At 38.4% G+C, this 14,445-nt stretch overlaps 1 protein-coding gene across 1 annotated transcript in view; it reads right to left on the bottom strand.

Annotated features, from left to right (window-relative positions):
• The window catches only part of KLRD1 (killer cell lectin like receptor D1), a 90,648-nt gene extending 78,638 nt beyond the window's left edge, over positions 1 to 12,010 (bottom strand). The window contains exons 1-2 of the mRNA NM_001351060.2: positions 10,768 to 12,010; positions 10,231 to 10,369 (exon numbers count right to left, since the gene is read on the bottom strand). The gene's annotated coding sequence lies outside the window, so the exon portion shown is untranslated. The remainder of the gene's footprint in view (positions 1 to 10,230; positions 10,370 to 10,767) is intronic.
• Positions 12,011 to 14,445: the final 2,435 nt, after the last annotated feature.

The raw sequence follows: 14,445 nt of genomic DNA, 5'->3' as shown, positions 1-14,445 counted from the left end.
GATAATGATGGTAAATGAACGAAACATGGCACTTGCGGCTGCTTTCAATTATCCTTTCCTTAACCAGAAAACATGCTCTTAAATACCTGAGACTTTCTCCTGGTCTGGATCTTCTCTAGCTTCACAGACCCAAGACCCTTTATATTACCTTAATACGCTATCCATTTTTAAAGTATTATGTGACTTTGAAACCACTTCGTACTGACTTGCCTCAACATATAATGGAAGTTAATAATCAAAGGGGTGTTGCAAATGTAAATTTTAAAATGTGTTTAAAAGGTAACTGATAAATTAATACCCAAGTTTTATCTAGGTCAAGCAGAAAACTTTGGGACAAATACAAAAATTAGCCTGGCATGGTGGCGGGAGCCTGTAGTCCCAGCTGCTCTGGAGGCTGAGGTAGGAGAATCAGTTGAACCCAGGAGGCAGAGGTTGCAGTGAGCGGGAGATTTTGCCACTGCACTCCAGCCTGGGCAACAGAGTGAGACCCCGTCTCAAAAAAAGAAAAGAAAAGAAAAGAAAAGTTTGGAACAATGTGACACAGAAGCAGATGTTCTTAACCTTCTCTTTGTCTAGCTACAGAACCCAAACCAAGGGGAAGGATCTTTAACAGGAATAATACATGTTACTGAAAGGGCTCTGGCGCCTTTGGGTATGCTAAAATGTTTGGGGCCAAATGACTCAGGGGAACTTTTTTCTTTGCTCATCCTTTCTTGGTTTCCAGCACTCATAACAGCCCCCCTAAAAAAAAAAAAAAAAAAAAAAAAAAGCAAAACGTTATCACCACCTTGGGAAATGGTAAGGACTTAAGAGAGAGAGTGGTTGAGGGGATGTAAATGTTTCCTTCTAGGTTGACAGCCTAACGCACCAGGATAGAAATAAAGGCAGAGACTCAGGACAGAAGTTGAATTCCTAGGAAATCTGAGCATGACGGACAACGTATGTACAACAAGTGATCCTAATGGTCTTCGAGAAAACAAAAGGACTACTATACTCCTCACTTTGTTAGAGTTGAAAACCATAAAGCTAGAGTGATGGCAGCTCCTGCGAACTCTGATGAAACCACAAAGGAAGTCATTGGGTCAAGAAATGCATTACGAGCCACCATGGGACACTACCACCCTTCTGCTTAGCAGAGCTCAGAGTAAGGGTCCCTTCCTGTGTGAAAGGCACTGACTGCTACAGCCTCCAGGAGTCCTTCTCACTGCATATGTGTGATAAATGTGAGATTCATTATTTTGTTCTTTGTAGAAAATTAAGTATGAAATAATTTCTTACTCTTTTTTCAAGTTGTTTCAAGGATGCTTCTCAATAAATTCTTTTTTAAAAAATTGACGATTTCCCCAAGAGTTTCTCCACTGGTTGCAAACCGTATATTTAATTTTCTTGGAAGCATTTTGATATATGATAAGGGCACAAGTTTGATACCAGAGAAGGCAAGATATTAGTTTGAGTTGTGTCACTTACTATATTTATAACTTTGGTCCAGTTGAATTCCCTAATCTACTTTTTCCACATCTGTAAAATGAAGGGGATAAAAGTATCCTCATCACAAGGTTTTTCTAGGGATTGAATGAGAAAGCATTGTTAACTGTTGTTATTGTTTCTTCTGTCTTCTTTGTTTGCAATTCAATACTGTTTCTCCTTTGGTGCAGTTTTACTATTTCTCTTTCTTTCATGAAATACCTTATGTATAAAATCCTCATAATGTGGCAGAATCAAGGACTGCCTCAGTAGTTTACTGTAAGGGATGTTAGCAACTCCCCTGTCCCCTGTTAAGCCTAATTTAGAATCTCCCCCACCGGTTGGCTGATGCCAATGACTCCATGTTTGGAAATACATTTACTTTGTTTATGGGTAGAATAATAGAGGACACATTATCCGTCGTATATAGTTTATTGTATGTGAGTTTAAACCTGATATAATTATAGATGCAAATGGAATTCAAAATTGATATTTTCAAGTGTGAACATGTTAAAATCTCCATTGTAACAGAATGGTAATGATGTTCTATCTAAGCATATGATTCAAAGAAAACAAAAAGTGCAATCATCAAGCGGAAAGTATACTTATGGCCAGGCATGGTGGCTCACGCCTGTAATCCCAACACATTGGGAGGCCGAGGTGGGTGGATCACCTGAGGTCAGGAGTTCAAGACCAGCCTAGACAACATGGTGAAACCCCATCTCTACTAAAAATACAAAAAGTAGCCGGGTGTGGTGGCGGGCACCTGTAATCCCAGCTACTTGGGAGGCTGAGGCAGGAGAATCACTTGAACCCAGGAGGCGGAGGTTGCAGTGAGCCGAGATCACGCCATTGCACTCCAGCCTGGGCAACAGAGAGAGACTCTGAAAAAAAAAAAAGAAAGAAAAGAAGAAAAGAAGGGAAGGAAGGAAGGAAGGAAGGAAGGAAGGAAGGAAGGAAGGAAGGAAGGAAGGAAAAGAAAATACATTTAAATAAAACTGATTTCACACAATAAAATAAACATAAAAATAAAATATTAAGAAGTTTATTAGTGTCAATAAAGCAGACAAAACATACTTATCATTACCATAATTGTTTTCAACACAATATTGTTTTCTGTGCCATAAAGAACAATAGTCATGTACCATTTTTTTAAAAAGAGTGCCCCTCTAATGTCTCCAAGATTTTCTTTGTAGCTTCTGATGCTCATTATTTAGAGTTTTTTGATGGTGATTTCTTGATCTGTAAAAGTCTCATAGATTTTTTTTTAAAACAGGATTAGAAAAATTGTGGGGAAAAAAACAGGATCAGAGAATTTCCATTCCATCCTATGACGGTGTCTAAATGATGTGATGAGTAAAACATGCAGGACCAACAATGTACATAACTTCACTGAAGCAGTGACACTAGCACCAGTGAAAATCAAGGTCACGCATGTGCACATTGCAACTGTCTCCTGGCCAGCAGTGACTGTAAGACTTCATATATTTTGAGAGGCATGCTAATTTCAGAGACATTAAAATGTAAAAAACAATATGTATTAGTCCGTACTCATGCTGCTATAGGGACATACTCGAGACTGGGTAATTTGTAAAGGAAAGAGGTTTAATTGACTCACAGCTCTGCATGGCTGCAGAGGTCTCAATCGTGGCAGAAGGGGAAGCAAATACGTCCCTCTTCACTGGGTGGCCGGGACAGAGAAATGCCAAGTAAAGGGAGAAAAGCCCCTTATAAAACCATCAGATGTTATGAGAACTCACTCACTATCATGAGAATAGCATGGGTGCAACTGCTCCCATGATTTAATTACCTTCCCACTTGGTCCCTCCCATGACATGTGGGGATTAGGGGAACTTCAATTCAAGATGAGATTTGGTTTGGGACAGAGCCAAACTATACCACAATGTATCTTAGACTCACTAAATTAGATTAAAGAAAATAAAATATGAAAGTGAAGCAAACTCTATTATAAAAATGAATAAGTCTTAAAAAACACACAAAACACTGCATCAAGCCTAAGATGGAAAGGTATTAAATTTTCTAAAAATGTTATACAAAAATTAGTACATCTACTTACACAAAAAGTGTAAGCATATAAAATTTAACACATCTACTTGGATAAGATGTTTGAAAAAAATAAATTATAAATGTTAACCAACTAACTAAATCACATTCCAATAAATTGTTCTCATGACTTAGATGATATTAGAAATATAAAAATTCAGACAGTATGATAAAGGTTAAACAAATTACAAATGCAGTTGAGCTTAGCTCAGTAGAAGTATGTGGAGAATTCAGCATCATGGAAAATATTATTGATATAAATAGAAATTCCCCCCTGAGGTCAGGAGTTCAAGACCAGTCTGGCCAACATGGTGAAACCCCATCTCTACTAAAAATACAAAAATTAGCCAGGCGTGGCAGTGCACATCTGTAATCCAAGCTACTCGAGAGGCTAAGGCAGGAGAATCACTTGAACCCAGGAGGCGGAGGTTGCAGTGAGCCGAGATCGTGCCACGGCACTCCAGACTGGGTGACAGAGCAAGACTCTATCTCAAAAAAAAAAAAAAAAAGAAAAGAAAAGAAAAGAAAAAGAAAAAAGAAATTCCCTACTCATTTAGACTAAGAAACATCTGCTGACTCTCCATTTAATGGGACTATGAAGGAAGACTTCAATGTGGTTCATTATTTGAATTCAGACTAACAGATGTGAAATATCTAAACATAGCCAAAACAAATTAAAAAACCTCACATCAACCATCCTAAAAAACAAAAATTATTTGCACATTATAGGAATGATTTGACAAATGACATGTTCTTCAATATTCCATTTGGTCAATAGTTTTATGGTATATAATTACAGAATAAAATAGAATATGCATTTTAATTTTATCCATAGAATAATATTGTATGCCAACATATATTACTATACACCATAGTGTAAATTCAAATTTTGTAGATATGTGGAAGAGTTTTCTCAGACAGGTCACAAATCATGTTTCCTACCCTATCTTGTGAAGCAGTCACTGTGTTGAAGCAAGAGGATAATTCTGAACTGTATAAGAACCTGTTATACACACTTCATCTATATCATTTATTACATTGCATTATCACTGATGTTTATTAGTATTTCCACTGGACTGAGTTCCTTAAAAATGTAGTATATATTCATAATTTTAATACCATGTAATTTTATGTTCACTAGTATATAATACACACAAAATGTGTGTATATGGGATGAAAAAAAAATCCCCACAATTTCTGCATTCAGACTATAGTGACAAGTTTGCACTTATATCTTTCCAGTCAGAGGTTTCTAAACACACAGAACCAAGAAAGGAGGGAGCAATATACAATTAAGTAGGGCAACTTAATATAAATTCAACTTTACATAAATCCTAGGGATATTATAAAATTTGCCCTCTCAATGAAAATGCTATCATGAGATGAAATGCATTGTATGTTAAAATATCATAACATTTCAAACAAACAAACAAACAAATGCTTCTTTTTAAAGTAAATTGGCCAGGCATGGTAGCTCACATCTGTAATCCCAGCACATTGGGAGGCTGAGGCAGTAGGATCACTTAAGTCTGGAGCCCGAGGTTACAGTAAGCTGTGATCATGCCACTGCACTTCAACCTGGGTGACAGGGTAAGACTTTTCCTCCAAAATAAAGTAAAATAAATGTTTCTTAAGGGAAATAAAACATGAAAAGAGAGAAACTATAATAGGAAATAAAGTACACATTGAAAGCATGGCAAAACTTCCAAAAGTACTTTGACTGTCATGGAAGTTGGCAGGTTTAATTTAATCATACGTCATTATCTATATGTTGGCTCAATGAGGACAAGTAGACAGTACACAGAAAGACAAGTACATGTACAGAAATTAATGATTAAATAATCAATATACAATAGTATGTACAGGTTTATTTATATAGTTAAATTCAAACAGAGAGTTAAAAATTACTGGAAAATTGAGCTAAAAATAAAACAGATTTTCATGTATTCACATACTGTCTTTCTGCAAGCTTATCTTTCTGAAATGGAATAAACCTTTCTTAGACTATTAGTTGTTCCAATTGCTAGCTAGGCGGAATTGAGCTTTTCTTGTTTTATTTCATTTATTTACTTATTTTTTGTTTTTGAGATGGAGTCTTGCTCTGTCGCCCAGGCTGGAGTGCAGTGGCGCAATCTTGGCTCATTGCAACCTCCACTTACCAGGTTCAAGCGATTCTCCTGCTGCAGCCTCCTGAGTAGCTGGGATTACAAGCAGGTGTCACCATGCCCTGCTAATTTTTGTATTTTTTGTAGAGGCAGAGTTTCACCATATTGGCCAGGCTGGTCTTGAACTCGTGACCTCATGTAATCCACTCACCTTGGCCTCCCAAAGTGCTGGGATTACAGGTGTGAGCCACCGCACCCAGCAGAAATTGAGCACATTAATTGATAATCCTCAGTGTCCTTATATGTAAAATGTACATAGTAACATTATATATCTTGCTGCATTATGACAATAATTATTTGAGCTAATGCACGCAAATGCTTTACACAAAGCCTGACATATAGTAAACACCAATAAATATTAACCATCAATATAGGTTATATTTAAATTAAATCAGTACTGCATTACCACTCTACAGGAAGAGTAAGAGCATGATTTCTTCAATGAAGTTTTTTTGTTTGTTTTGGTTTTTTTTTTGTTTGTTTGTTTTGTTTTTGAGACGGAGTTTCGCTCATGTTGCCCAGGCTGGAGTGCAGTGGCGTGATCTTGGCTCACTGCAACCCCTGCCTCCCAGGTTCAAGTGATTCTCCTGCCTCAGGCTCCTGAGTAGCTGGGATTACAGGCGTCCACCACCATGCCAGGCTAATTTTTTGTATTTTTAGTAGAGATGAGGTTTCACCATTTTGGCCAGGCTGGTCTTGGACTCCTGACCTCAGGGGATCCACCCACCTCAGCCTCTCAAAGTGCTGGGATTACAGGCATGAGCCACCGTGCCAGTCCCTGAAGTTTTAACAATAACTGAGTTTATTGGAAATGAAAACTTTTTCCTTTGTTTCTGGCTTTATTTCTGGTTTCTAGAGCTTGATACCCCAGACACTGACTGAAATTGAGTGAATGAGTATATTGGTCACAAATGGTAGTTTGTGAGTCCTTGAGCCTGGTGGGTAGCGACTGATTTGATGACTGTTCTCCAGTTCCCTGTCCTGAAGGTGTTCCCTGAGCTCTGTTTAGGCGTTTGCTTGTCTTCCTCTCTCTCTCTTTTCTTTTATGTTCCAGTTTCAACAACAAAATCATAGGATAGAGTTCTATGACGTAGATATTTTTTTCTAAATTCCCTTGCAAGGGGCTTCAGAACCACCTTACCAATCCTTTAAAAAATTGCCTGAGCGCTTGACCAACAACAAGTGACCTATTTGCCACTATTCTTCGACCATTTCAGAAAGAGAAACCGGAAGCCCACGAACTGCTCACCACTGAAACCACTAAACAACAGTTTCTAACCACATAGACAGGCAAGCTGTAGCAGTGAAGCCATCTGAAGCTCTCGTGTGAGGTACTGACACCTTATTTTAGTCCCGCATACCTGCAGCAATTTATTTATTAGTTATATTTATTAAAAATAAACACGGAATCATTGTATTTTTAAATCAAACTATATTTGATCTTCTCTACTCTGGTTTCTAAAACCGCTACCAATGAGAATCCCTAGTAAGATCACTATTTCACATTATAACACCTTTATTTGCACACTTCTTATCCTAGTTCGATGGCTCATTCTGTAAAATTGTTACTAGACAGTTTTAAGCACTGATAAGGTAAATATCAATAGCCAGATTTTTCACATTGTTCCATATCTTTCATTTCGGTTTTTTTTTTTTTTTTTTTTTTTTTTGGAGTCTCACTCTGTTGCCCAGGCTGGAGTGAGTGGCGTGACCTTGGCTCACTGCAACCTCCACCTCCTGGGTTCAAGCGATTCTCCTGCCTCAGCCTCCTGAGTAGCTGGGATTATAGGCACCTGCCACCACACCTGGCTAATTTTTGTATTTTCAGTAGAGATGGGGTTTTGCCATGTTGGCCAGGCTGGTCTTGAATTCCTGACCTCAGGTGATCCACCTGCCTTGGCCTCCCAAAGTGCTGGGATTACAGGCATGAGCCACTGCACCTGGCCTTCTGTTTTATTCTTTTAACCGAAAAATTATTTTATATATTTCGGGGGTTTGATGTGATGTTTTGATATATGTACACATTGTAGAATGATTAAATCAATCTAATTAACATATTCATCACTTCACATACTTTTTGTGCAATAGATCTCAAAAGCTTATTCCCATTGCCTAAACTGGAATTTTGTACCATATGACCATCATCTCCCCATTCTCTTTCCCCCAGTCTCTAGTAACAACCTACTTCTAGAAGTTTGACTTTTTTAGATTCCACATTTAAATGAGATCTTGCAGTATTTGTCTTTCTGTGCTTGGCTTATTTCACTTACCATAATGCCCCCCAGATTCATCCATATTGTCACAAGTAACAGAATTTACTTCTCTTTTAAGGGTGAATAGTATTTCACCGTGTATATATACCACATTTTTAAAATTCATCCCAATGAACACTTAGATTGCTTCCATATATTGGCTGTTGTAAATAATGCTGCAAAAGAAGACATGCAAATGGACAACAGGATATGAAAACATGCTCAACATCACTAATCATCAGGGAGATGCAAATTAAAACCACAATAAGATATTACTTCACTCCTACAGACTGGCTATTATCAAAACAACAGAAACAAAGATAAGTATTAGTGAGGCTGTGGAGAAAAGGGAACACTTTACACATTGTGGTTGCAGTTGTGAAGTAGTATAACCATTTGCAGAAGACAGTATGAAAGCTCCTCAAAAAACTAGAAATAGAATTACTATATGATCCCAGCAATCTCACTTCTGGGTATACATCCAAACGAATTGAAATCAATATGTTGAAGATATATCTGCACTCCCATATCTTTCATTTATTTTTGAGTCAACTATCCACTATCCACCAGATGGTACAGTGGGTAGCTGCTTTGGATTTTTGAGGAGAGAAGGGATTGAAAATGTTTTCCTGTTTATGTCCAACCTGGAGGTTGATACAAGTGAAGATCGCTTTGTGTAATGTGTTTTGTTAATATTTGTTAATGATTTTGTTCATATCACTATGAAAAGAAAAATTATAAATGTATCCCACATTAGTAAAATGAAATCAGCTTGACATTGACAATTCAAATGCCACTGTAAATATCATGGTCAACACTTCAGAAGACAAATCAAAATGGAGTGTTGAATGAGAAATTAAAATCAGCACATATATCCCATTTTTCTCATATTGCTCTCATTTGACTAGAAGCTGCAAGACAGTCACTCTTCTCTGAAAAAAAAAAAAAAAAAAACAGCAAGAACAGTAACAAAGAAATCCAGTCATCCAGTCAATTATGGGAGAAGTTTCTCCAGTTCAACAAGAGGAATCGAATGACCTATAAGAATACAGCAACTCAGATTGTGATGTCATGAAAGCCTGCTTTCCAACACCACAGGAAGAACTTTCAGATGCAAGCAGATTTCTGAGGAAATACTTACATACTGACGGGTTAAGAGAACATCATGTTTGCAAAGTACTTTAGTAAACAGTACAAAAATATCCATTCTATATGTGAATGTGTGCATATACATGTATGCATATATATATACATACACATATATAAACAAATATGCACATATACACACATACTATCCAATATCAGCCTTAACCTTCTCCTGATCTTAACTGAAATTTTAGACAAATTTCTTCCTAACTATAGTTCTCTGGCCTCCCTTTTCTTATAGTATTTACTTTAGAAAACTTGCAATTATAAATTATTTCTCAGCCGCTTTGAGGTGTAAATCTTTTCCAACCTATTGCCAGTTTTACAACTCAGTAATGTCATTTTCAAGGACCTAGAAGCCTTCTCTTTGAAATGTAACCAAGAAAGATTACGTAAAGCAAATGTAGCACATTAACATTTAAGAAGTCTGAGTCAAGACTAGCTATTTACACATTCTTTGTCTCTTTCTCACAACTTTTTCTGTAAGTCTGAAATTATTTTTATTTTATGAAAGTAAAAAATCGCTCCCCTCCTGAGTTTATTCATTAATTAGAAAGCTGATAAAGAAAAGAATCAAGTACTTCTCCTGCAAACTCTTATACAAACCGTAACAAAGAGTAACCTAATAATTGATGAGGTGAAGTCGCTATTTATGAAAGTACTTCAGCCAATAAATGAATAGGGAATGATTGAATTAAACTTTCAACGTTTTGTGTCATGAATTAAGGGACCTAGTTAATGACCATCAGTTGCTGCTGACATTACATAAAAGAGACACTAGATAGTAAATGCCTCTGAATGTAACTACACAACTCTTATTATGAAATAGTAGGGCTTTTTGCCCCTCATAAAATTATTCCAACTTGAATCTTACCAAGTATCTACCTTGCTACCAATACACAGGATATATATAGAAAAAAGAAGAAGATGTTGAACTACATACGGAGGTGCAATCAGCAAATCAAGACTGTGGAAAACCCTAAAAGACAAATGACTCAATTCATGCAAGCAACAAAAACAATAGCAAAAACAAAGGTAAAAGATATAACTAGTCACCATAGTGAATCCCTGTATAATTTACTTAAAAACAGAAAATGTACTGACTTAAATGTACTTAAAAATCAGGGAAATGTACTGACCGATAAAATCACATGATGTCTGATATTTCACCTTGATTGGAGAGTGAGTCGATGCTTGTTGAAGCTGGGTGATGGGCACGTGGTAGTTTACTCACTCATGGGAGATACACACTCACCTTGATTGGGGAGTGAGTTGAAGCTGGGTGATGGGCACATGGTAGTTCATTAAGTTATTATGTCTATATTACTTAATGTTTACATTTTTTCATAACAAAAATTCAAATAATATAAAAACTCTTGTCTCTACATTAGTCACTGGGAGCAGAGAACGTAAGTGAAGATCTATTCTACTAATTTCATCATGGTCAGAATAAGATCATGGCATGAAGCTGAACAATGAAAGCAAAGAAAAAAAAAAGGCATGTAGAAAATAGAAATGAGGGCTGGGCATGGTGACTCAGCCTGTAATCCCAGCACTTTGGGAGGCAGAAGCGGGCAGATCGCTTGAGCTCAGGAGCTCAAGACCAGCCTGGGCAACATGGCAAAACCCTGTGTCTACAAAAAATACAAAAATTAGCCCAGCATGATGGTGCGCACCTGTGGTCCCAGCGACTTGGGGGGCTGAGGTAAGAAGGTAGCTTGAGCCTGGGAGGTTGAGGCTGCATTGAGCTGAGATCACGCCACTGCACTCCAGCCTGGGTGACAAAGTAAGAACCTGTCTCCAAAAAAAAAAAGAAAGAAAGTAGAAATGATTATCCCGGAACACCTTGACAATCCCACCTGTGGTAATTTTCTTCTAGAGCAGATTACTATGGTGAAACCAAGCAGTAAAATTTAGCATTGGGCAAAATGTTTTAAGAAAGAGAAAAAGTGGCTCACGTCTGTAATCCCAACACTTTGGAAGGCTGAGGCGGGCGGATCACTTCAGGTCAGGAGTTCAAGTCCAGCCTGGCCAACATGGTGAAACCCCATCTCTAGTAAAAATACAAAAATTAGCTGGGCATGATGGCGGGCACCTGTAATCCCAGCTACTTAGGAGGCTGAGGCAGGAGAATCGCCTGAACCCGGGAAGTGGAGGTTACAGTGAACTGAGATCATGCCACTGCACTCCAGCCTGGGCAACAGAGTGAGACTCTGTCTCAAAAATGAACGAACAAACAAAAGACAGAGAGAAAGAGAAAAGAAGAAAGAAAGAGAGAGAAAGAAAGAAAGAAAAAGAAAGAAAGAAAGAAAGAAAGAAAGAAAGAAAGAAAGAAAGAAAGAAAGAAAGAAAGAAAGAAAGGGGAGGGAAGGAGGGAAGGAAGGAAGGAAGGAAGAAGGAAGGAAGGAAGGAAGGAAGGAAGGAAGGAAGGAAGGAAGGAAGGAAAGGAAGGAAGGATGGAAAGAAGGAAGGAAGGAAATGCTGCTGCCAAATTGGTATCATCCCCAGAGAGCAAGTCACACCTTTAGTCATGCCTTTTGCCTGGACAGAAGAAGCAATTCTCTATCTTTGTGGTACCTGGGCTTATTAGAACCCGTGCTCCTAGAGATTAATTATACAAGTTTGTTTGCTATATAATAGATTCTCTTACTTTGGAGATTTAATCTGTCCTTGATTCTTTTCCCCATCCTTGGCCACCAGCCCATTAGAAGCCTCATCTCATGATACTGTAAAAATATTTTCTCATCTTTTTTGTTAAATTAAGCTAAAACAGTTAAGTGACCACGTACAACAAAAGATAAAGGAAAAGTCTTTGGTGAAAGTTATCCCCTCATTCTGGCTTTTTAGAATTCTTGAGCTTTTCGAACATCTTAATAACAATAAGGTAAGAACCTAAGACTCCCTTCAAAGGTTTTGAAGTCTGAACGAACTGGAAAAATCCAGGGCCAAGATGTCATAAATATGATCTTCGACCTACCCATTGTTATCCTTGGTTAGGTCAGATTCACACAACTCTAAGTGAAATAATCATTATAATCATGTTCTGGATAAAAAATCTCATAAATTTAGACCCAAATGGGCTGGCTTTGTCTTATCTCACCAACTAAATTTCAACACATCATTTTGTTTGTTGAACTAAAATATGCTAGGCTGTTTTGGACAGGATGTTTCTGGTTCTGTGATATGTTCTCCACACATCATAACTCATTAGGTCAGTGAATGTACTTTTTAAAAATATGACTCTGATTGTCTCTTAATAGTCATATTTATTAAATTTCATTTTCATTGAGATTCAAATTAAATTATCTGCTAAGAATAAGTTCTAAGAATGTGGATTCTTTCTACCTGTTTCTCAATTTGTATATAGAAAAACTTTAAAGGGGAAGTTCCTTCTAGAAAGGTATGGTTATTTAACAAATATTATGTGTGTGTCTGCTAGCCTAGTGCCTGACACATATTTGTAAAGTAGTGAAATTATTCAGTGAATGAAAAAGGGCCAGATGCAATGGCTCACACTTATAGTCTCAGCACTTTGGGAGGCCGAGGCAGGCAGATCACCTGAGGTCAGGAGTTCAAGACCAGCCTGACCAACATAGAGAAACCCCATCTCTACTAAAAATACGAAATTAGCTGGGTGTGGTGGCTCATGCCTGTAATCTTAGCTACTCAGGAAGCTGAGGCAGGAGAATCACTTGAACCCAGGAGGCAGAGGTTGCGGTGAGCTGAGATCACACCATTGCACTCCAGCCTAGGCAACAAAGAGCAAAACTCCATCTCAAAAAAAAAAAAAAAAAAAATAGAAAAAAGAAAAACAGACATGTTCTCTGGCCTCATGGAAACCATATTCTAATGAAAGAAATTATAAAATTTAAGTTAAAAAGCAAATTCAAAATAATACAAGTTCCAATATGTGTTGTAAATGAAACAAAAAAGTGTTTGAGATTGACAGCAACAGCAGAGGGGCCCTAGAAACTTTAACTGGATGATCAGAGATTGTAATATTCATGCAGGATTTTTCTTGGCCCTTTTGCCGGACTCCTAGCACGAGTGCCCCATCTCCTCGGCCCACCATGCTCCGCCCCTTGAGAGAGGTAACACATAAGCAAGTGAGTATGGGATCTGGCCAGCCACTCCAAGCACCAATACAGGAGCAAGCTCCATGCAAAGCCCATGTCCAGACCAGTCATGTTGCCTTGAGGGGAACATGGCAGCCTGGTGCCCATGATCCCAAAGCCCCAGAGGGGGTGTGAGTGTGCTACTTAGCTCTTTTAGTTCCACCATCCACAGTCGATAAACGGCTGTGTGTTAGCAGCTCAGTTGGCCACTGACCCTGTAGCTGCCAGTGGGGTGGTTGCCCTCCACTTGCAAGGGCAAAGGGCCAGTGTGACAGCCTCCACCTGCACTTAGTGGGTCCCAAGCTTTTGTCCAGCGTCCAAGAAGAATGAGGTCACACTTGACAACTGAAGAATGGTAAGAGTGGAGAATTTTATTGAGCGATGAAAACAGTTCTCTAGTGGAGAGGGGAGCTGGAGAGGGTATCAGAAAAGCAGATCATGTTTCCCTGAAGTCAAGCTGTCTCCTCCCCAAAGTCAGGCTGTCTCCCCTCCACTGACAGGGGCCTTTATAGGAACAGGATGGGGGCAGGGTGGGCCATAGGTAGTATTGGAAAAAGCAACATTCAATTGGTTAAAAGGCATTATTCAGAAAGAACCAATAAGAAGAGAGCCAACAAACAGGAATGGAAGTCCTCACTCTGGTCTGTGGGTTTCAGGCTGTTTTTGACCTGAAGGTAAGGTTTCCCCAGGGACCCATCCCTGTCTGTCTAGGATTTCTCTGCCTCCTGCCTCTATTAATATTTAAGTTACGACAAAGTATGAGAAGGAGCTGGCTATACAGAGCTAAGAGAGGAGCAGTTCAGTGGAAGATACCAGGTATGTGCACAGCCCTGACTGAGACAGAAAGAATTTAATGCCATTCAAGAAACTAATAAAAGGCCAGTGTGGTTTGTGATTAGTTAGTGACAGGGCAATTGACATGTGACACTGGAGGATGAGGAGATAAACAGAGGACTGCTTGCATGCACAACCTGTAGTAAATTGGAACATTATAAACAGTATTACTTAGTTGTATATTCTATGGCAACAAAGTTCTATTATCATTCTACTTGCCTGTTTTCCCCCTAAGACAATACCAATCTAACTTCTAATCTTTTTTTATCCTCAGAAGAAACTTAATCTCCCAAATAAACAAGGAATGTTTGAGAAAAGATGCTCCAGAAATGCTGACTTCCTTTTCCTTTTCCTGCCTCACCCTCCTCTATCCACTTTTTCTTTAGACAGTGCCTTGCTCTGTCA

Source organism: Homo sapiens, chromosome 12 (assembly GCF_000001405.40).
Source record: "Homo sapiens chromosome 12, GRCh38.p14 Primary Assembly".
Classification (NCBI taxonomy): Eukaryota; Metazoa; Chordata; class Mammalia; order Primates; family Hominidae; genus Homo; species Homo sapiens.
The sequence above is the reverse complement of the archived record's forward strand: the minus strand, read 5'-3'. Positions and strand labels throughout refer to the sequence as shown.